Raw genomic sequence first — 24,657 nt, 5'->3', positions numbered from 1 at the left:
TTGCTGGTCCTCTTGGTCTGATACCTCTTTCAATAAATCTTAGTTCCTTAATAGCTTTCAGAATTCCTCAAACATTTTCATCTGTAATGGTAATTCTTTCCTGTATTCAATTACATTACTGTTTTTATTTTTTTGTAACCTTTATTGAGATACAACATGTGCTCATTTTAAGTGTACAATTCACTGATTTTTCATAAATTTACAGAATTTTGCAACCACCACAATCGAATTCTAGAAAATTTCCATTGTTTCAAAAAGATCTCATGGGACTATTTGTAGGCATTTTCTGTTTCTGTCCTCAGCCCCAGAATTTTTTGTATTTTAGATATATTTTAAAATATGAATTCTTGGGGGGTATACATATGGAAGGGGGGAATATTAGTTTCCCCTTCAAGGAAGCTAGAAGAAGAAGAATCTTTGACAGTGTTACAGTCTTCAAAAGAGCATGTGTGAGACCATCTATCTGAGCAGCCAGTTGTCTTTCTTTTCCTTTCTTCTCTAGTAGGTGGTTGGTGAGAGGCCATTGTTGAGTGAATTCAAGTCTTATGATAAGATAGTGAATAGAATCTGTTTGGATTTAGGTACCCTATTTCAACAAAACTTCTCTTTGCTTTATTTTGGACTCTTAACAGAAAAAATTTATTTGAAAATAGCATTACCATACTTCTTAAACCCATATGTTCTTAAACTCAATAAAACAATAATTAGAAATATATTATACAAAGCAGATTTTTTACAGTCATCTTTCTTTTGATTTTAAGTTATATTAGATATTTACTTTTTTTGATTATAAAATTTATAGATGGTTATATTTATAGAATTATAAAATATAGAATAGTATATAGAAGAAAAGGAACTCTCAAATTATTATAACACCATATCACATTTCCTCCTAATATTTTTATTTGCAAATACATGTTTATCTACTGGGGTGCTTTTTCTTTTTCATCCAAAATGAAATTATAACTCATATGCAACTTTTTGCTTGCTTTTTTCACATATATGTGTGATCATTTATACGTATTCATAAATATTCTTCAAATACATAATTAATTTGTGTGAGTGACAACTGACCTGGACAAAGCAAGAGCCTTGGATCAGGGTCTCAAATAATGGGCTGAACATGGGAGTGATTAAATACCTGAATGTGATTTTGAATTTTCTAGATGATGCTGTAGCAAGTTACTCAAGATGATAGAAATTCTTTTTTTTTTTGCATACAATTTTCTTTCTTTTTTTTTTTTTATTATACTTTAAGTTGTAGGGTACATGCGCATAACGTGCAGGTTAGTTACATATGTATACATGTGCCATGTTGGTGTGCTGCACCCATTATCTCTTCATTTAACATTAGGTATATCTCTTAATACTATCCCTCCCTCCTCCCTCCACCCCACAACAGGCCCTGGTGTGTGATGTTCCCCATCCTGTGTCCATGTGTTCTCATTGTTCAATTCCCACCTATGAGTGAGAACATGCGGTATTTGGTTTTTTGTCTTTGTGATAGTTTGCTGAGAATGATGGTTTCCAGCTTCATCCATGTCCCTATAAAGGACATGAACTCATCATTTTTTTATGGCTGCATAGTATTCCATGGTGTATATGTGCCACATTTTCTTAATCCAGTCTATCATTTTTGGACATTTGGGTTGGTTCCAAATCTTTGCTATTGTGAATAGTGCCACAATAAACATACGTGTGCATGTGTCTTTATAGAAGCATGTTTTATAATCCTTTGGGTATATACCCAGTAACAGGATTGCTGGGTCAAATGGTATTTCTAGTTCTAGATCCCTGAGGAATCACCACACTGACTTCCACAATGGTTGAATTTGTTTACAGTCCCACCAACAGTGTAAAAGTGTTCCTATTTCTCCACATCCTCTCCAGCACCTGTTGTTCCCTGACTTTTGAATGATCGCCATTCTAACTGGTGTGAGATGGTATCTCATTGTGGTTTTGATTCACATTTCTCTGATGGCCAGTGATGATGAGCATTTTTTCATGTGTCTGTTGCCTGCATAAATGTCTTCTTTTGAGAAGTGTCTGTTCATATCCTTCGCCCACTTTTTGATGGGGTTGTTTGCTTTTTCTTGTAAATTTGTTGGAGTTCATTGTAGATTCTGGATATTAGCCCTTTGTCAGATGAGTAGATTGCAAAAATTTTCTCCCATTCTGTAGGTTACCTGTTCACTCTGATGGTAGTTTCTTTTGCTGTGCAGAAGCTCTTTAGTTTAATTAGATCCCATTTGTCAATTTTGGCTTTGGTTGCCATTGCTTTTGGTGTTTTAGACATGAAGTCCTTGCCCATGCCTATGTCCTGAATGGTATTGCCTAGGTTTTCTTCTAGGGCTTTTACGGTTTTAGGTCTAACATTTAAGGCTTTAATCTATCTTGAATTAATTTTTGTATAAGGTGTAAGGAAGGGATCAAGTTTCAGCTTTCTACATATGGCTAGCCAGTTTTCCCAGCACCATTTATTAAATAGGGAATCATTTCCCCATTTCTTGTTTTTGTCAGGTTTGTCAAAGATCAGATGGTTGTAGATAGGCAGCATTATTTCTGAGGGCTCTGTTCTGTTCCATTGGTCTATATCTCTGTTTTGGTACCAGTACCATGCTGTTTTGGTTACTGTAGCCTTGTAGTATAGTTTGAAGTCAGGTAGCATGATGCCTCCAGCTTTGTTCTTTTGGCTGGGATTGAGAAATTCTTTGTATTAGTCCATTTTCATACAGCTAAGAAGACATACCTAAGACTGGGTAATTCATAAAAAAAGAGGTTTGATGTGCTCACAGTTCCACATGGCTTGGGAGGCCTCACAATCATGATGGAAGGCTAAGAAGGAATAAAGGCGCGTCTTACATGGCGGCAGGCAAGAGAACGTGTGCAGGGGACATAGGACGGTTATAAAACCATCGGATCTGCTGAGACGTATTCACTATCATCAGAACAGCACAGGAGAAACCCGCCCTCATGATTCAATTACCTCTAACTGGGTTTCTTCCATGACATGTGGAATTATGGGGGCTATAATTCAAGATGAGATTTGGTTAGGGACACAGCCAAACTGCGTCATTCTTCTTCTTCAGACCACCTTATTCCAGAACTCTAATAATGAAGCATGCTAGACAAGGTGGAAGATTCTTTTAACTAATGTACTTAGCCAGATTAAAATAGCTTCCATTAAAAAAATGTGAATACTTTCTACATATTTCTTAATATGTTTATATTACAGTATTTATTTGTATTTTTCTGCCCCAGTAGATTGTTGCTCCACATAGGTGAGATCTGTGCTTAGTGAAGGTGCTAGCACAGAGAAGGTCTTTAATGAAAGTTTGTTGATGAGAGAATGAGAAAGAGATGAGATCTAATTTGGCTCTTAATCACTATATGGACCTCTGAGTAAGCCCCTCTAACTCACCAAATGCAGGAAGCACATAGATATGTAACTTAATTAGCTAAGTCCTATAAAGGCATATAAAATCACTTGGCAAGGTGTTTAGCACATCATAAGCACTCTATAAATACTAGTTATTATTATTAATAAAAAAAATCTGTCTCCATATGGTCAGAAGCCAGAGCACACAGCACTGGAGGCCAGGGGCTGTAGTGGCAGCAAATGGGTAGCAATTGTGGCGCCAACACCCAGTGTAGGGGAGGGGCCCTCTCTCGTCTGGTTTTTCCAATTGAAAATGTGCTTGGAGTAACCCTCCAGCCAACCTTTTTTTCATCTGCAGATATATTATTGAAAACTGTAGCTCAGCCTTGTCAGTCCAAATTATATTAGGAGGATTAGGAGATGTTCTGCAAGGAGAAAACAGAATTTGGCAATTTGATTTCAGGAAGACTTGAAAGGTCAGAGATAAAAGGCCAAGGTGGATTTAAAAAAGGGCTTTGAGCTTCTGCAGTGAGGAACAACAATTCAGAGCAAGAATGACAGTTAAGGAAGTTTAGGTGTAATCTCTTCAGTAAGAATCATCAACCATGGTAGACATTTATTTGTTTATTTGAGGAGGTGGGAGATACACTGAGCTGTCTAAAAGGAATGCAGTTCTTTAATTTTGCTTTTCTCATAAGATTTTTAGTTAAAATAGTATTTCTGACCCATCAAAACATTTTTCCTTATTTAGGGAAGCCAAAAGGTTATTTTAATTCTGCCTTAGTGTTTCTTATTATTTTTGTCAACTTTTACCCAAAGTTCCTTTTAAAACAGTGCTAAAGTGTTCACGCTATAAATAAAATCTGTTCCCTTCTTGTAAACAATTGGCAATTATGTAAGAATCGAATGAAATAAATACACATGTGAGGTTTTTCAGAGTATGTCTGTACACAGTCATTTGTTTTACTACTAGTTTTCATGTTATGTTTATTGTTGGTTGTTTGCAGATGAAAGTTGTTGTTGTTGCTGTTTTGTAAACCAGCTATAGTTCTGATAAGTAGATATTTGAGCCTGAAATATAACTATGTGTTCTTGCTTACTAAGTGATTAATATTATAGATTTGGTGTCTGACTTCAAATGAATCACTCAACATCCCAGCTGCAATTTTATCTATAAAATGAAAATAATAGTATTCTGCTTATAAGGTTCTTGTGAGCATTAAATGAGAAAATAAATGTATTGAGCATAGGAAGTAGTACATACTAAATGCTCAACAAACTGCATTTAAAAAATTATTTAAATGCGTGAATTTGAGAGACAGTCTAGCAGGCATTGTTTTCTTGACAGATGTTTATATGACTGTGCAGGAAGATTGTAAACATCTGTGCTTTGGTTACCATTTCCCTGATTTATTTAACCATGTGGATTTTGTCAGCTATTTTAAACTAATCAGACACAGGCATTGCCATTTATACCACACAGATGGTTTCTTCAAATCATTAACAATGCCTGGGTGGGGCATCCCCTGAGACTGGGAAACTGCAAAAATTAACAGGCAAGGAAATTCGAGCTTTTGAATTTTGAGTGTTCTGGAGGGCTTCTAAGCGCCTGTCTGCCTCAGTTCTGATGCTAAAAAATTCTATCTTTCCAAATATATTTTCTTAGTTAGTACCATCAGGACTGCCTGTCTCATTAGAAGGTCTGAGGCTGTGTTAGACAAAAAAGCAAGTGGAAAAGGTTGAGAGACTTAAAAAAGCACAATTTAATACCTGTTCCAATATTCATTTTTATTATCAGAACATTAAGCAATGTGAAGGTAAAAGAGCAGATTTGTTTTTGAAATGGCCTTTTTACAAAAGTATTACATACCCATTGTAGACAATTCAGAAAACACACGGAACAGAAACACATTTTCCAATAGTCCTTCTACCCAAAGAGAACCACCCTTGACATTTTGATTATATCTTTCATTTTGATTACTTTCGTACATATGCACATACACATATGCATATACTTTAGATGCATACATACATATAGGTGTATTTTACAAAAATGAAGTCACATTTCACAGTGTTTTGTAATCCACTTTTCATACTTAGGTATTCCTAAACAATTTTTACATAATTTTTTGTCATTTTATAAGATTCTTTAAAAGGTAAACAATCCACTGCAAAAAGAAAATGTTATTTCTTCTCCCAATCTCCTAATTATTGAGTTAGTTTGCTTTTAATCTTGTTAGGAAATGACTGGTAAACAGTCTTTAGCTAAAAAGGGAAAAATTTGAAAGACATTGGTTGGGCATCACATCCAAGTTCTCTATTCTGAAAAGATTTTCCCTGCAAAATGATTAAATTTGAAATAACTTAGTATTAGAAAACAACATAAGGAAATAAACAAAGTTTTTAAGGCAAAATACGTGAAAACCAGAAGCTACAACCTTCACTGAATAGAGGGAGTAGACAATATGGATACCTATGGAGTCTCTCAGTAATGACGGTTCTCGCTTTGCACAGTCACATGGGCTATAAAAATGACCTTGTAAACAGAAACCTTGCAAAGTGGTGCTCGTAGCTAGTGGGAAAAGTTGATCGTTCCATGACCTTTAAAAATTTCTGTCAAACATTAAAAACTCTCTTACTGTTTGTTATAAATGTACTGTATAGGAAAATAAAAAAGAATAATATTTAGTATACTGTAACTTAAAACGTTACAAACATTGGTAATTAAATGTTTATTTCTTTGTAAAAAACTGATCAAAAATAGTTTGAGCAGTGCTTGCCTTCTTCTTTTTGAGCATAACTTGTGATATATACAAGGCACATTTTCTATGCCTTAGCAAATTTTGATCACATTTTGACATTGTATCCTTGGTGCTGTCAGTGTTGTGAATTATCTCCGGTAGTGCCTTTAACATGAAGTTATTTTTGCAAGCATATGGCATTTCCTCTGGGACACTTTCATCCTGTTCATTAGAATCACTTTTCTCATTCATGTCTACGTGTCTATACGTTTGCTGTCTCTAAGCACTTCTGACCGTATGTCTAGAGTCTCTCTAACAACAGCTATGTCAAAATGCCCACCATCAGCAATTTCTTCTATAACTCCATGAATGTTTGATTTGGATTTCATTTCCAGCATTATTACTTTTCATTTCTTTGCTGTACTTTCATCTTTGTTGACAAATCCCTTTTTTGGATTATCAGTTTTTGTAAAATGTCATACAAGTTTATCACAGGGAGACAAGGAGGCAACATAGTCACATGCTTTGCTTTCTGTGTATGAACTGAATAGAAAATGTGAAGTGACAGACCACCAGCAGGCTTTGTAAAAGGTGACATGATTGGTCACTGATCAGGATATGTATCTGTTATTTATGCAATGACTTGTAGGCTAACAAGGCAGCGGCGAAGTTTGTGCCTTATGCAATTACTCACAGTTAATATACTGTGGTAATGGAAATGTGAACCACGTTGCTGGGGACCAGTGTTATTTAACTAAACCATGGTAATGGAAATTTCCATATTGGAGCTGTAAAAAGCAAGTTCGGCCTTTACATATTACATATAATGGATGAAAGGGACGTCTTCCCAAGTTGGTTTTTGTAGGCTCTAATGGCAATGGCAGCATCTCTCCTTATCCCAAGCTACCAGGGGAACAACATTGGCCTTATGGAATCTAAAGAATATGTTTTACTTAGGTCTCTATGGCATTTCCCATAAAAGGGTCCTGAATCATCCTGATCAGGTGACTCACTGAAATAGAACAAAATGTAGAAATCATATTTCTTATTGCTTCTCTGATGCTGCAGCACAGCTGAGTTCACTGAGGAATTGGGTCTAGCTGAGGGATCTGATTGGTTCCTCCCATTATTCCTTGGTAACTTTCCCTCTCTACCCTTCCACCCCCTTCGTAGGTAGTGGCAAAAAGAGGCTCATGTTCTGCATGGCCAAGTCTCAGTGATAGTTCCTGCATGATCAATCTTTGAAGTCAAGTTTAGGTCAATGGTGTTTAACACAGAGTGGGGGTGAAGGGAAAAGAAGCCAAGAACGTTGAGGAATTTGTGGCTCAGTCTGTAAACAAAGAGGATTGATGTTGGTTGAAGACAAAAGAGGATTCATTGGAAAGAAGGTGAAATGGTCTTAGAAAAAAGGAGTTGAAGCTAGAGAGATTCCTCACAGAGTTTGATATATTGTCTCAATTATCTTTGCACCACAGTGTCGGTTGCAAAGGAAGACTATATAGATGTTTGTTAAATGAAACAAAAAGTAGTTTTATTGATATATGGGAATCCACCACAAAGACAAACATTTTTAAATTAATTTTGGAGAAATAATATTTTTATAAAACCTAGATTAAATATGACTATATAGGGCACACAAGTAAAATGGACCAAAGATGACAGTTAAGTACCAATATATTTAATGGAAAAATTTATTTTTTCTTTCTGTGGTTCATGATTTGTGCTCCTCTTCACTCTAATGTAGTTTCTTGCTTAAGGCTTTCCAATGGCTTCCATTGAACAAAGAATAAAATCTAAAATGTTTTCCATGGCTCACAAGGCCTGTGCAATCTGGTTCCTAACAAATTTTCTGATCCTAACTCTTACTCCTCATCCTTTACCATTCTCTTCCTACCCTCAAATATGTTTTAGTTACATGGGTCTTTTATTCTGTTCCATAAACATGCCAGGCTCATTGTAGTCTTAGGGTCTTTGCTCTCAGTATTGCCTTTGCTAGGCAAGTCCTGTCTGTAAATCTTCACATAGAAAACCCTTAGCAAAGTGCCTAACATATGGAAAGAGTCAATAGTGTTATTAATTAAAATATTGTTCTTTAGATGTTCTTCTATTCTTAAAATGCCTGATTGTTCTGGATTTTCTTATTCACTTTTGCTTGTTTTCAAGGCAAAGAATGAATAATAGTAACCTTTCTATAGGAGAAAAGATGGCAGGTATGTCTACATCAGTCAGGACAAACTGGTTTTGCTGCAGTTACAAACAGTCCCACAAATCTCAGTGGCTTAAATCAAGAAAGGTGACTTTTTTACCTAATGCTACATGTCCAGTGTGGACTGGCAAGACAGTTCAACTTATAGTGGAGATACACTAACATTTTATGGTAATACCAACTGAACATGAGGTTTCAGGGTTTGCCATGTCAGAAGAAGGTAAGAATACAGAGTAGAGCATTGTCAATTAAATGGTTTATTCCGCAAGTGACACAAATTATCGCTTAGCTTTTACTTACCCTAAGTCTAGATCTACTATCTCCTACCCACATTCTCATTTTGATGGCAGGGAATCAGTTTTTAAATTGGGGTTTTCAAAATAATTTCGGGGTGCTTTCAACAGTTCAGATTCCTGGGTCCTGTCCTCTGAGATTCTGATTCTAGGTTGGGGAATGGTAATTGAGATATTGGTATTAATTCTAGTGACTCAATTGTAGGTGATTTGAAAGTCATGCTTAGAGGAACACCACTGTAGTGACTAGAACTATGGTTGGCTTATTGCAAGAGCTTAATAAATATTTTTTATTTATTAAATATTATTAAATATTGACTCTAAAATAAGGGTTTTCTTATGAATAAAGATTTAAATAAATGAATCTGTAATTTAGATAAAAAATTGAATATGCTGAATTGCATTAGAAGGAGAAGAAGGGCTAAGTGTTTTATTCCTTCACTCTAAAATAACTTCTACTTTTTGGGAGGAGGTAACGCTGGTACTCTTTCTTTTACTTTGTGCAGGTCACTAGGTTGATCCACACAGTAGGCAAGCTACATCATATCTCTTGCTCAGGAAGAAGACACGAGTTTAAGGATATTAAAAAAAAAAAGAAGTGGATGAATCCTTTGATTTATTCCGTATGAAATAGACTATGGAGAAAGCAAATCTAATCTCATGTAATTAGGAGTTATTTTAATTGCATGAACCACAGGCCACATTTCTTTTACAATGACAGATAATGGCCTTTTAAAAATCTTGCATTGAAAAATCTATTGGCAAATAACTTTTAAACCTCAACTAACTGGCAACTAAGCTCTTTGTCACTTATCTCTGCAGTATTTTCACACTCTGATCACAGAATAACAAGACTAGGAGTAAAGATCATAACGGCATCATAAAAACAGAACCATAAATGTGGACTTCAAGTGAAGTTAATGTTCCATTATGATAGATTACCCATCCCCTTGAAAAGCTCAACTATTTTAAAATCAGTTCTGCTGAATTTTTAATATTCAGGCTATTCCCTGAGAGGGAGCTTTGGGCTGGAGGTCTCCACGGGTATTCACAAGCATTATGTTTGGGTTCATAAAATCTGAAGGCTTCTAAAGTATTAAAACTTTCATGCAAAGCATGCAAAAAAAAAAAAAAGGAAAATCCACCATCAACGAGTAACTAGTGCTTAAAATATCCATTGTTGTTTTAAAAATTAATTTGAAGGAGATTATATTTTCATAATTGCTATAAGGTCTTGCCTTAATAGTAACACTATTTTTTCTCTTCTAAGCAAGTTAGATAATGTTAGACTATTGTTATGGGTATGAATATGGACACATATCTGGGAGAGTAGGCTAAAGGGAAGATGACAAGAGAAAATTTGCTCAGTTACTGTCTTGCTGAAAATATTGGGTGTTTCTTTAATATATGTATTCTTACCTGCCAACCTAAGTGTCTTGACTGGAAAGTGAATAGTCTATAACAGGTAATTTTGCCTTTTCCTGAATGTGGATCAGGTTTAGCGGATACTTCTCTAATAGGTGATAACAAACTAAAAGGCTCAAATAAATCCAAAATTCACATGCACTAAGTCTTATTTCTTATTACTACAGGAAAGTTTATGTTTTTCCTTGCTTACATGTAAGAAGACAGTGTGCACACATGGTCCCCTCTTCTGTAGATTTCTGTGTAGTGTTCTTGCAATCCCAGTCATGAGCATACATAGTGAGGGATTTGCTTGTGATGTGTTTGTTAATAGGCTAGACTTCACAATATTGCCTTAAAGCACAGAAGAGGGAGCCAGAAACTGGGAGCCAGAAGTTCTATGTCATCTATTTAGCTCTGGACTTTTTTTTTTTTTTTTTAATGCAGATGCAGATTTGAGTTAATCATATTCCTTAGCTCATGGTTCCTTATCATTACTGGTCCTGGGGAAGCCCCTCTTTTATTTCTTCATCCTATTTTGTTCCATTTCTCATATCTATTTCCTTCTTTCCTCCAGAAAATAACCTAATGTGTTTGTTATATATCGTTGTGTTTGTATGTGTTCTTGTGAAATGTGTATTGCTGTTTCGTGTACTTGCATTTTAAATTTTTATAAATGGGGCTAGGTTATAAATCTCAGTCTGATTTTCTTTGTTTTCCTCAGATACTATTTATGTTGCTGTATGTATTACTGCTGTTTCAGGCTTGTCATTGCTGTATCATTTATTAGTATCTGTGTGGTATTTACTCTGTTTTTAAATTAAATTAAATTACATTTTATAGACACAGGATCTTGCTATGTTGCTTAGGCTAGTCTTGAACTCCTAATCACAAGCATCCCTCCCACCTCAGCCTCCCAAGTAGCTGGGACTACAGGCCTATGCCACTGCACGTGGCTTCAGATACTCTTTTAAAAACCACAATTTTGATGATCTTTTCTCATAATTTATTATTAATTTGTGCATTCCCTATCCCAGCTTTCTAATAATCAGATATATTTTATAAATGAAGAGCGAAATATACCAGGTTGAGGGCAAACAGTGGCCTTTAATAACATTTTCCAGTGAGGCTCTGAAATGGCATAGGACTATCACAGCTCTTTGAACAAGTAGAAGACTTCTCTTACTAGGCAAAGACCTACTATACCTGGAGTACTCCATACTACTCTTTCAGTCTTGCCATACTTTGATTTTAGATATAGCCTACTTGATACCATGAGGCTATCCTTTACAAAGCTCATTTTCACTGAAACGTAGAAGCTGCTACATCATGTAGAAGCTGTTGGATCAGGGATGTATAAAGAAATATATAAAATTTAAGTAACATAAAGCCAGAAGGTCCTGGAGTCAGGCCTGCATTTGACTCTGGTTTGCTTAGTCACCATGCATAGTCATTAAATGACTTTATCTTTTATTCTTCACAGATCTTGGACTATAACCCAGGATATTTTGAGTTTCTTAAGAAAAAGTGATTACTATTATTAAGTAGAACCAATTCCTTTTCTCTTTTAAGATTTTTGGTTCCTAATGAGAACTATGAATCAGACTGAGGAGGACCTGATCCTGAGAGCAGTAGGCAGTTTCTTCACTCTTTGGAACTGGACCAGGAGGCTATGTGCCTAATCTGCTCCAAAATCATTCCTTTCTGTCTTTCACTGAAGCCTGAACACAGTCCAGGAATTAGGTACTAATTAATGTCAACACATTACAAATGAAGAAAGAAGGGAAATTGCTTGGACTCATTCTTGAGAAAATCTTCAGAAATTTGCTTCAGTTAAAGTTAATGTGTGTCTCAGGCAGCACTGAACCAAATTGTAAAATGCTGCTCATGTGGATGAGTGACCTGGAGGTGACCCTTTTGAGAGTCTTGACCAGCATTTGTTTCCATATCCTGTCTATTTTGTCATGATACTGCTTACAGCATTGATGATTGGTGGGATCAGAGAGGGCAAGAATCAAACTATGGCTTCATTAGCTCAAAGTTCTACAGGGCCTACACAAGATTTTAGGACATATTTTTCAAAATGACTTTTCTTATTTTCATTCATTGCTGCTTTATGGATGTCAGGGAACAGCTTTTTAAAGAGTGAAACAAATAGATTGTTACATGGATTTTAGGAAATCTTCATCTTTTAATCAGAAGCAGATTTTAGATCATGTTTTTATGTATATAAAATTAACAACTGAAGGTTAAAACCCAAAGAATCATTTTAAATAACCATGAAAATAAACGTACTAATATGTCATGTTTGATCTAAAGTTATGAGAATGAGTCCAATATGTGGGATACCAATCAGGGGTGAGACTGTATTGAGGAAAGGCAGGCTCATTTTGCAGAAAAATTAGTTGAAGCTATAGTAAGCCACAATGGGGTTCAATTTTGTGCTCATTGTTCCTTAGGCTTCCTTATTATATTTTTCCACTTTATGAATGCCATTGATGTGCACTTTACTAAACTTCACCTGATTTGCTTTGCTCAGGCCTTCAACTAACTAGAGAAGATGCTGTACTAGCTAAGTTCTCTATCTCTAATGCTTAGCACAGCACCTGACACACAGGATGGGCCTAAATTGCTGAATAAATGAGGACTGCAGAATAATGGAGACATCCCTATAATGCCACATCAAGTTTTGACCATACTAGTAAATAATTGGAGAACCCATTTTAGTGTGTAGATTTTAGAGTTAAAAAAACTCTTGATTTCAGTCCCAACATTATATGGTCTTGGATTAGTTACCCCCTTTAAATCTAAATTTCCTCATCTGTGAATTAGAGTTATTAATAGATTAATGGAGAAAAAGGAAGAAGACTATGACAAAGACTTGTTTGACCACATCAACCCCAGTGATTTTCCTGAAATACTGCCTGGAAGCTAAACATTGGGTACACATGGACATACAGAGGGAAATAATAGACCTTGGAGACTTCAAAAGAGGGCAGTGTAGGGAGGAGTGAGGTTGAAAAATTACCAATGGAGTATTATGTTCACTATTCAGGTGAAGGGCTCACTAGAAATATAAAGTTCTAGAAAAATTGGCTTTGGCTTCTAATTAAATGCCGCCTTGATTGTTCTCTAACAGGCTTATTTTTTTCTAAATCTTAATGTGAGGGCTGGAATAAAAGGATTGAGAAGCATGCATTTTCCCTCTATTTTCCCAAGCACCCAGCACAGATTACAGTTTCTTAGCCATATTATATAGGGATGAATATGGAAGAACATGAAAATGAAAAAGTCAAGATAAATATGGCTTATTAGAAAATTATCTTTTGAAACTTCCATGTACACATTCGCCTTCTGGCAAATAATTGGCATAATTTCCATTGTGTTTTGGTAAACTCCAAAAGATGAGAGAGCTGGGAGAGAAATGAGAGCAATGGAGCAAAGGATGCAGAACTCAGTCTGGAAAACAAGTAGTTTAGAAGGACTGGGGAGAGAAGTCTCCTAGGAGAATAATTTGTTTCTAATAGTGATAGTATGGAGGGGGAGTTTTCTTTTTCTCTCTCTCTCTTTTTTAAAGCTGAAAGCACAAAACACACTTTGAAACATTTAAAAGCTGAAAGAAATAGATTTTTTTAAAATTTTAGAATGATGCCATAAACTTATAAGTTGTCTTATAGAGCATGCTTACAAGTGAAAGACATATATTAGACATGTTAAAATAGCTATCTATGTGGATGAGAAAAAAAGGGCTAAAAGGGAGTGAATACATAGATTAGAGGGAGCTTGCTCAGATGACTGGTGATCAAGAGCTTTGAATTGAATATGATTAACTCTTCGTACCTGGGGTCCAATAGAAACCCACTATCACCACCACCAAAACAACAAAACGGAAATACACTGTGTGATGATGCTAGTTTTTTATGGAAATGTGTTTCATTTTATACACCGCAAAATGATGCTTCAGGCTCTGAATTGCCTTGGATTCTTAGGTCCTGGTGTAAGTGTGAGGTATGTGTGCATGTGTAGTGTTTGTGTGTGCACATACATGTGCATAGATACCTATTCTAACATGTTTAATACATATCTTTCCTTACACCAAAGGAAAAGAAGAATAAAGACACCTGCACTTATATGTTTATCACAGCAATATTCACAATAGCACAGTCGTGAAAACAACCTAAGCGTCCATCAATGGATGACTGGATAAAGAAAATGTAGTTTATGTATACCATAGAATACTACATAGCCATAAAAAGCATGAAATCATTTCTTTTGCCGCAACATGGATGGAGTCAGAGGCCATTATCCTAAGTAAAATAACTCAGAAACAGAAAATTAAATACTGTCTAGACGCTAAACAACGGGCACACATGTACATAGAAAGGGAAATAACAGACATTGGGAATTTTAAAAGGGGGAAGGGTAGAGAGGGGTAAGGGTTGATAAATTGCCAATGAGGTATTATGTTCACTATTCAGGTGAAGGGCATACTAGGAGCCCAAACCTCACCATTACAAAACATATCCATGTAACAAACCTGTAAATGTACCCCTTAGTCTATAAAAATAAAAAAAATGCTGCTGCAGCAAAAAACACAATAATGTGTACTCTATTAAAATACAATTAGATAAGCAGTTGTTATAAGCTTGAAAAGTCTGCCTCTTTTACCAGGGTGAAAAAGTTGGAATCCATACATAGATAATAAAAAGGGAAGGATATAGGAACTTGTCTGAAATGTAAGACAAAGGAAGATAAAACACGATTTTTCTTTTTTTTTTTTAACAAATTTTAATTACTTTTTATTGAAAACTACACTGAACGCTAAATGTCCACCTTTACAATAAACAAATACAGTAATGGTAACTCACACTAAAACAAAACATACTTCTAATAGCCATTATTTTTCTGCTTGGGACAATTTTAAAGTTTTTCTTTTGTCACAAAAACAGGAATGTACCTATACAAAGGCTCAAAATAGGCCATCTTTTTAAAGAAAAAGGCAATGATTCACAAAAGACTATGAATAGAACATGCAACTAGTTGATACAAATCTAATAGGATTTGTTAAAATCAGTCACATCTAATACACCTGAAGTGTTCTTGTATAAAATAGCACATGAAGAAAAGAAGACTTTATCAATGTCTAAAAAAGTGGGTTTGTTCATAGACAATCTGACAAGTTACCATAAAAAGTATTTCCTGAGACATAAGGAAATGCAACATTATTCTTCTTGAACCTTTTAGCTCAAGACTTTCCACTCAATAAAATAGCAGAGGATCTGAAACTGAGAAAATATATTTGAGTACAAACAGCTTGTGGAACTTAATACTTTTTTTTTTTTTTTTTTGCATCATCAGAGGGTTTTACTGAACTTACAACCAACTTGCCCGCTCAGGATGCAGTTCAGACGTGAGACACTTCTCTGTACAGGGGCCTGTATTGTCTTCAATCCTATGCATGCAGGTGTCTACCACAGGCAAGCAGTTTTCTCCCCATTTTGTAGTAATGTGATTTTCCTATTAGCAAAAAAGAGGTCACCAGCCCCTGTAGACTTAAGGGACTCAAGTCACAGGATGGGGATTTCCTCTTAATATTTTTTATTTTGTTGTTTGAACTCTTGATGCAACATTGTAGAGCAGGGTGTTCAGGACCTGCTGTGCCCAACGGACTGATAAAAGAAAAAGCTCTATTTATTCTTTGTGATTTGATGCACAGATGAAAAGCTTAACACACAATAACAGAAGTTGGTCGTTAATAAATCACATCCTAGTCTTTCAGCGCTTCCGTAAGCAGACGACATCTTTAGTTTTCTAGCTCTTGTAGTTTTAACACTGCAACATCAATGATGCATATGCCCAGAATCAGTTACAAAGACCATCCGATTCTTTTTCTCTTAGTTCATCTATTTTTCACTGTCTCTTGGTCCCAAGTGTATCTGAGTGATTACCTTCTGGCATTCTCTGCTATTGCTCGTTGGGGTGCTCTCGATTGTCCACGTGTTTTGTGGGCTGGTTGGGAGAGGGCGCTTGGGAAGGATGTGCCACTGTCGGGAGGTTGTGAGTCACTGGGATGCCTCCAGGGATGATCCCTTCCATGGCGGCAGAAAGTCCTCCTGGAGCCACACCCACGACGCCTGGCGGATATCTGTATGTGGCACCATTGAGCTCAGGATGAATTGCTTGCTGGTCTATTACTGACCAAGGCGCTGATGTGACAAAGAATTCCTTGTTCACACAATTTCTTAAGCTTTCTGGGATGCAACCTGTGATGGCTCGGCGGATCTCTGTGGCAGCTGCCTCCCTCATCTCCAGTGACGCCTGCTCGCTGTACCAGGCAGTGTGAGGAGTGCAGATGAGATTCGGGGCATTTTTCAACGGACCCTGAGCAAAGCTGAAGGGCTCCGACTCATGCATGTCGAGGGCTGCCCCTCGTATCGTGCCCTCCTTGAGGGCTTGTGCTAAGGCTTTCTCGTCCACCAGGCCACCACGGGCTGCGTTCACAAGGAATGCTCCCTGCCTCATCTGCTTTATGGTAAAGTCATTGATGAGGTGGTTGTTATGTTCGTTGACATTGCAGTGCAAGGGGACGCAGTCGCTCTGATACAGCAAATCCTGCAGGGTGTAGACCCTCTGCACGCCCAGGGACCGCTCGACCACATCCTGCAAGTAGGGGTCATAAAATATGACGCTGAATCCAAAGGCTTTGGCTCGAACTGCAATGCCTGCCCCGTGCAACCAAAGCCGTTGAGGCCCAGCGTCTCCCCACGGATGCGGGCCGCTCCCTAGGCCACCTCGCCCATCTGCTCCACGCTCTGAACCCGCGTGCCTTCCCACAGTGCCTGGTACAGCCACGTGTTCCTCCGGTAGAGATTGAGGATGTGGCAGAAAGCAATGTATAGAGTGCTCAACCAGAAATATGGATCACTGGTTTAAGAATCAGAAGATTTAGGTTATGTCAATCTGGCTGTCTCACTTAATCTATCAAAGGAATGGAGCAAGCGAATACAGTGTTTACTTCCAATGGAATAATGAGATTGTGGTCACAAAACGATCTTAAATATTGGACTATATTTACTATGTTTGATATTGCTGACCATTTTATTTCATGTTCGATCAGTTTAAGGTACTCCCACGAATAGGCATGGAGGTATGTGTGTTTTGGTGGATGCACACACTCAGCCTTGGTGCGCTATTACACTATCAAGTTTCCCTCTCCATCCATTCACTTACTCAGAGATTCGAAAGTGTAGAAAATTTATCCCAAAGGATTATGCCAAAGGCTGTGATACGAGCTCACAAATAAAATGAGGCTGGGCCTGATCTGTGCCCTTTTGGCACTAGGCAGCAGTTGCTTGTCATCCACCTTCACTTTAGTGTTTTCTTATTGATTGCATTTCTTTTCTGACTCTTTCCTCATAAGAAACCCAGAGAAAGAGAGAAGGGAAAGGGTAGGAGGTTGAAGTGTAGGGGAAGAAGGCCATTGTGACATTATTAAGGCCACAGCCAGCTCACATCACTTGCAGGCTGGTGGACAAGTGGTATGGAGAAGGCGCAACTGCCCTACCAAAGCCAGAACTCACAAGCCTGTTTTACTCCTGCGTATATAGCCATGTGCCAACTGAACATTGGAGAGTCTTGCCCAATTGCATATTTTTGGCTCAATTCTATTGGCTTAGGTGTTTGAGGAAGAAAGAGATCCCTTCATATGCAGGCTTATGTATGGAAAATGAGAAATCAGACAGCAGCAATGAAACTTACAAATTCAAGGAGACTTTTTCGTGAGTAAGATTCAGGATATTGAAGAGAATTCAATAAGTTCAGGATGGAAGAAATAAGTACATTCTTACACTTGTGTAAGAATGTGTCCTCATTACACTCAACAGTGTGTTCTCATTCAATATAAGAATAAAAGCTTAGATCTAGATTTAAAAAAATTATTTTTATCGTTTATGTTTATAATACAGAACTAGATATAACAGTTGAATTTATTGAATAAGTTTCTTCGCAAAATATCAGCATTGAAGATTCCATAAACAGTTCCACTTAAAGAAATGTTGTCCAGGGACTATAAATTGATACACAATAAACTTTCTTAAAGTCAATATGAAAATAGACATTAAAAGCCTTAAATTTTTTTTGCCCTGGACACAAATTCTGTTTCTAAAAAAGTATTCTAAAAAAATTAAGGTTGGTACAATGCGGGCTTTTTTATAATAGAAAAACATTTAAAGTCCCCAAACAGGAGAGTAGTTATGAAAATGATTTTCACTTCTACACAATGAAAATACATAGCTTAATCAATCATGTTATAAAAAATATTTATTGTGGTGGAAGAATGGTCAAAAATATTAACTTTGAAATAAATGGCCTATATAACTCTTTGAATAACATGTCAATTTTGTAAAACAGAAATGTGGAAACACCCATAAGGGCTAGGAAAGACATTCAGCAAAATGTAAAACTTATTTTTCTTTTCATGCCTTTTTATAGTTTCTAACTTTTTTCTTTGGATGCCTTCTTATGTGAATAAATATAATCACACAAATGCTACTAACAAAAGACTCATTAATGTGTAAAAGCCTGTCTGTCCAGGAGCCTGATGATTTGGTCAAACTCAGATGTGCTCCATGTGACATGTCGTTGGCATGGAGAGAGGTGCATTCAATGAACAGATGCTCACATGTCTCAGGCTTGCACTGCTTGGGCATTATGTATGTAAAATGATGGATTAGAATTGACTACAATCCTAGAGAAGAATGGTCCTCCTCAGGTTTGCAATCTTGCCTGTCACCCATTACCTGATGCTCACATATAACATAAACGGTCACAAACAATAAATCCATGAAATGAAAAGCACCACTACATTGCTGATAATGAGGAGAGGGTTCTGAGTTTAAATTGGCTATCCTAACTCTGTATTTCCTGATTCTGATGCAATTGAACCCTCAACTTTCTCATATTAAAATGGTTTACATAACATATTTCTAGATACGTACAGAAGCATACGATAAAACAATGTTTTATGGCTAAAGTAAGCAGCTGGATATCATTTTGTTTGATTAGTACAGAAGAGTGGAAGTTCAAACATAAACTGAAATGACTACCTCTTTGTTTAGCTATCATAGACTGTTTCTTTATCACAGTCATATGCAATCCATTGGAAAACGTGGAGGCAATAACAAACACAGCACCAAACTCTATTATCATAAGCATTGCTCCAATTCATAATCCCTATATGGCTATCTCTTTAGGATCAAGGTAAGAGGAACAGCTTCCTACAATCTACTTTCTGTTATATTGCACAGGGGTTGTTAAAGGCAGATTCAAAATAAGTATTCAAAGGCATACTCACGGACAAAAGTTCTCCATGTACTCTCACTTGGGCCATGAGGATGAATAATTTCAGACAAATCTGTATCTTCCCTCACCTTAATAAACGGCCCTTAAAGCTAGAGCTTACAAATGGCATGTATTTCTTGCATGTTGTCTTACATTTGGTTTGGAAATAATAAAGTAAATTCAACCCATTTAATGAAAAAGTTCAAAATAATAGAGTTTGGGTATAATTTTTTTTATGTAAAATGAAAGAAAAACATGTTTTTACAAAACAATTTTTATTCTTTTGTTACTTGAGAGAAATATTTTGCTACTGTTCATAGGACTACTTCTACTTTTGTGAAAATAGCCAGTCATGACAGAGTGCTTCCAATAAAGAAATTAAGAGAGTCAAATAAGAACCCTAATGAAATGGGGGAATGTTGAGATTTCAGACTTCTTTTCATCACATCTCTTGATTTCACACAATAAAAAAAACATGACTCTGTTCTAGTTAAATATCCTAGCATCAATTGTAAAATATTGGATAATGGCTGGTAAGGTAAAGTGTTATCAGATTACCAAACACTTGCCATGTGTGTTTGACTGACAATTTTCAGCAGGCGTACTGAAATATATTTTGCTTAGCAACTAATGTTAAGAAGAAAACTTTCTGAATATGTCATGGTTGTGAAAACAGGTACAGGGAATCTGGAAAAAATTTTACTCTGAAAGGACAACAAAAGTGGGCTTCAAATGAACAGCTTGAATGTAAAGTATGCTACTTCATCTATTAATAAAAGCAAACAAAATTTTATATTTCTAAACAGTTGTGTTGATCTCAACAAAAATAAATGTTGCCTTCAGTTATCAGGGATAACTTAATCAACTAATTGAGTTAGAATAATTTTTCTTTAAAGATTGTTATTTAAGTCTAAGAACACTTTTATTATCACTATAGCATTCTGTTCTATTTTGATTTTTCTGTACTAGTGATGGAGAAACTGGTTTCCAGCTTCATCCATTTCCCTGTAAAGGACATGAACTCATCCTTTTCTATGGCTGCATAGTATTCCATGGTGTATATGTGCCACATTTTCTTTATCCAGTCTATCATTGGTGGGCATTTCGGTTGGTTCCAAGTCTTTGCTGTTGTGAATAGTGCCACAATAAACATACATGTTCATGTGTCTTTACAGTAGAATTATTTATAATCCTTTGGGTATACACCCATTAATGAGATTGCTGGGTCAAATGGTATTTCTAGTTCTAGATCCTTGAGGAATCGCCACCCACACTGTCTTCCACAATGGTTGAACTAATTTACATTCCCACTACAGTGTAAAAGCGTTCCTATTTCTCCATATCCTCTCCTGCATCCGTTGTTTCCTGACTTTTTAATGATCACCATTCTAACTGGCATGAGAGGGTATCTCGTTGTGGTTTCGATTTGCATTTCTCTAATGATTAGTGATGATGAACTTTTTTTCACATTTGTTGGCCACATAAATGTCTTCTTTTGAGAAGTGTCTGTTCATAACCTTCACCCACTTTTTGATGAGATTTTTTTTCTTGTAAATTTGTTTAAGTTTCTGTAAAGTCTGGATATTAGCCCTTTGTCAGATGGAAAGATTGCAAAAATTTTCTCCCATTCTGTAGGTTGCCTGTTCACTCTGATGATAGTTTCTTTTGCTGTGCAGAAGCTCTTTAGTTTAATTAGATTCCATTTGTCAATTTTGGCTTTTGTTGCCATTGCTTTGGTGTTTTAGTCATGAAGTCTTTGCCCATGCCTATGTCCTGAATGGTATTCTCAGCAAACAAACACAGAACAGAAAACCAAACACCGCATGTTCTCACTCATAAGTGGGAGTTGAACAAAGAAAACACATGGACATGGGGAGGGGAAGATCACCTACTGGGGCCTGTCAAGGGGTGGGGTGCTAGGGGAGGGATAGCATTAGGAGAAATACTTAATGTAGATGACGGGTTGATGGGTGCAGCAAACCACCATGGCATATATATACCCATGTAACAAACCTGCACGTTCTGCACATGTATCCCAGAACTTAAAGTATAATAATAATAAAAAAAGACCCCCCCAAAAACTGGTTTGTATAATCTTTAGAAATCTTTATTCAAACATAAACTGCAGGAAAGAGTTACGAAAAATGGGAAGTCATTTTATCTTTTTCAGTCTTGCAGAAATTGTATTTTAGACTTTTTAATAAACACAACAAATAATGACCATATCCTTGAACTAACAAAACAGGTGAAACTGGCATTTTTCATGATAAACTCTAAGATGCACTCAAAACCCAAGTTAGGACAGTGACAGTGTAATTCCCAGGTGTCGGCTGGGAAAGGTTCCTGCAGCTAAGAATTAAGTTTATTTTTAAGCTTTTTTACCCAAATATACATTCTCAGGCCTAATTTTCACATCCATTCTTTTGCTTCTGATTGGCTCTGGCAACAATAGACTTTAATAAGAAAAAGGTTTTTTTTTGTTAAAACTATTTAAATTAAACCACAGTGTGGTACAGAAATATAAAAACCTAACTTTTTTGTTTGAAAAATACTAGAAAAATGTCTTTTTATCATTTAAACAACCTTGTAGATCAAGTGACTACATTTCAAGTTAATCACCAATGAATAAAAATGAACTGCAACTTTGAGGTTTTTTTCCCTGTTAGTTTCTACCTAATATTTTGCAGATTTTTTTCCCTAAAGTTATTCAGCTTTGACTCACATACAGTTATCAGCCTGGTACAGGAGCTCCCAAAGAATGATGCATTCATTTAGTGGCCTCTGTCTTCTTTCTAAGCAGCCTGAGAGGAACAATTGTTTAGTCTCTTTTCTATGCTATTCTTTGACTCAGTGGGAAGAAACTGGCCTCTGGACCTCTCTTCCTGGCCTGCCTCTTTCTAACCTTCCCAGTTCAGTGTGAGGAACACAAAGAGATTGATGAGCCTGGGGTACACCTTCCACTCAGCAGTGCACAGCTGGGAAGGAAGGCAGAAAAATTCTGCTCACAGACCACACAAAGTACTCCCCACCAGGCCACAGCTGTGACCAGCCAACAATTCTTCCCCTGACACCCAAGACCCATATTTCATAGTCTAAGAATAGATGAGCTTACACTGATAAAGAGTGTAGGAGGTTGACATGGCTACCCTCAGATGGCTGGGGCTCAGATGCATAAAGATGTCATGAGATCTGGTTTTAATTGAAATGCAAGCATTCACCACGTGGTATTTTATACACAGGGCCATTTTACCTTATATGGGTAACAGTATATATTTTGGCAATGTCACAAAACAAAACAAAACAAAACAAAACAAAACAAAACAAAACAAAACAGTGAGTATGAGTTGGAACAAAAACTTACCAGGATCTGTAGAAAAGAATATTCTAATAAAATATTATATAGAAACATGATATTCATATTTTTGACTATTATACAGATTTAACATGCCAGTGTAAAAAATTACTGTATGATTGATTGCTATTTTATCCATTTGTAGTGAGGTGATACTCCTAGAGCTAAATTTTCTTGTGATTGACAGGTTAACAACTGAGAAATTTCATTTTGGTAATTTTTATTACCTTTTGGCACTAGGATTTCTTCTTTGAGAAAGTCTGAATAGTAAAACAAAACTGCTACAATATTTTTATTATCATAGTACCACAAAGTAAACATTGAGAACTGACTCACCGTCCAACTGATGTAGAAAGATCAAAGAAGACTCATATTTTAACCTTAAGTGAAGGCTTGTGTGGAGATAAAAATTAGAACATCAGATCAATCCTAAAATACAACTTATTTAGTCTATTTCTCCCTTTCAAGGTTTAAAGTAGAAAGCTTTCATTGGCAAATTAGTCCAGATGTTGGCTTAGAATAAAATCCAACTTCCATTAGGAAATGATATTTGTTTTTAATTTCTAACAGATCTGTACCTTCTCTTGACAAAATGTGAGACCTTCATATTTGCAAATGTGCTGCTGGTGTATGGAGCAGTACTGAAACTTGACAGTTCTATTTTATGCAGCCTTTGTAGAAATGTTTTTTAGGTGGGCATATTGCAAGATAAAATGCAAATACAGTCAGGCTTTATTGTCGGTAGAGGAATAGTTGTGCCCTTGGATATAGCTAATTATTTCTGTGCCTTTGACAAGAGGAGAATTTATAGTTGAAGCAGGGTCCTTTCCTGTCCTGAACAGAACAAATCTCACTTTGCTGTGGCCACACACTTTGCCTAGACATAAAGTAGGCTACATAAACAGAGAAGGTAAAAGATATGACAAATAATTATCTTACTTATCTGCATATTGTTGACTAACTGTTGAGTAATTAAAAGCTGTGTTCAGTGATCACTGTGATCCAAGTCCAGATAAACTTGATATTCAGCTTCTGGGCGGTTGTGAGAACATGTTCTAGATCACTCTCACACCAGATGTTGGGTGCTTCTCTGAGAGCCTTCATTGTTGACTCAACAGAATTCAGGGCATCTTCAGAAACCCTGTGTTACCTGGATGACACTTGTCAATCTACACGAGGGTTGAGGGGAAGGGGGATAGATCTACAATTGCTATCCCCAAAGAATTAATTATAGCCAGGCGCGGTAGCTCATGCCTGTAATCCCAGTACTTTGGGAGGCCGAGGCGGGCGGATCATGAGGTCAGGAGTTCGAGAGTAGCCTGGCCAATATGATGAAACCCCATCTCTACTAAAAAATACAAAAATTAGCCGGGCATGGTGGTATGTGCCTGTAGTCCCAGCTACTTGGGAGGCTGAGGCAAGAGAATCACTGGAACCCGGGAGGTGGAGGTTGCAGTGAGCTGAGATCACGCCACTGCACTCCAGCCTGGGCGACAAAGTGAGACTACATCGCAAAAAAAAAAAAAAAAAAAAAAGAATTAATTATAAAATCTAAGTGTTCTTTAAACTTTGCCACTGATGTGATTTAGTTATAGTCGCTTTTGCCTCATTTGTCCAAGGAAGAGGCAAAAACAAAAACAAAAACAAAAAACCCTTAAGTGTAAGAAGCTATCACAGACTAGAGCAAAGAGGGTCACCTGGTGTAAAGAGGGCAGCAAAGCCCAGCTACAGCCAAACCATCTTCCCTCATGGTGAGTGTTACTCTTTGGGACAGTGCTCCTTGCCCCATTTATCCTCTGATAGCTCATAAACTTTAATACCATCTGCTTCCTCATACTCACCGTGCTCTTAGGTACCTGGATTTTGTTTCTGAAACCTGGTCCTCTTCAATGACTGGATTCTTTTCTTCAGAATTCACTCTCATAGTCATCAATTCTCTGGCC

General features: G+C 36.7%; 1 pseudogene; it reads right to left on the bottom strand.

Annotated features, from left to right (window-relative positions):
• Positions 1-15,790: 15,790 nt before the first annotated feature.
• On the bottom strand, positions 15,791-16,909 carry CTBP2P4 (CTBP2 pseudogene 4; annotated as a pseudogene).

The sequence above is a fragment of the Homo sapiens genome, chromosome 5 (assembly GCF_000001405.40).
Source record: "Homo sapiens chromosome 5, GRCh38.p14 Primary Assembly".
Lineage (NCBI taxonomy): Eukaryota > Metazoa > Chordata > Mammalia > Primates > Hominidae > Homo > Homo sapiens.
The sequence above is the reverse complement of the archived record's forward strand: the minus strand, read 5'-3'. Positions and strand labels throughout refer to the sequence as shown.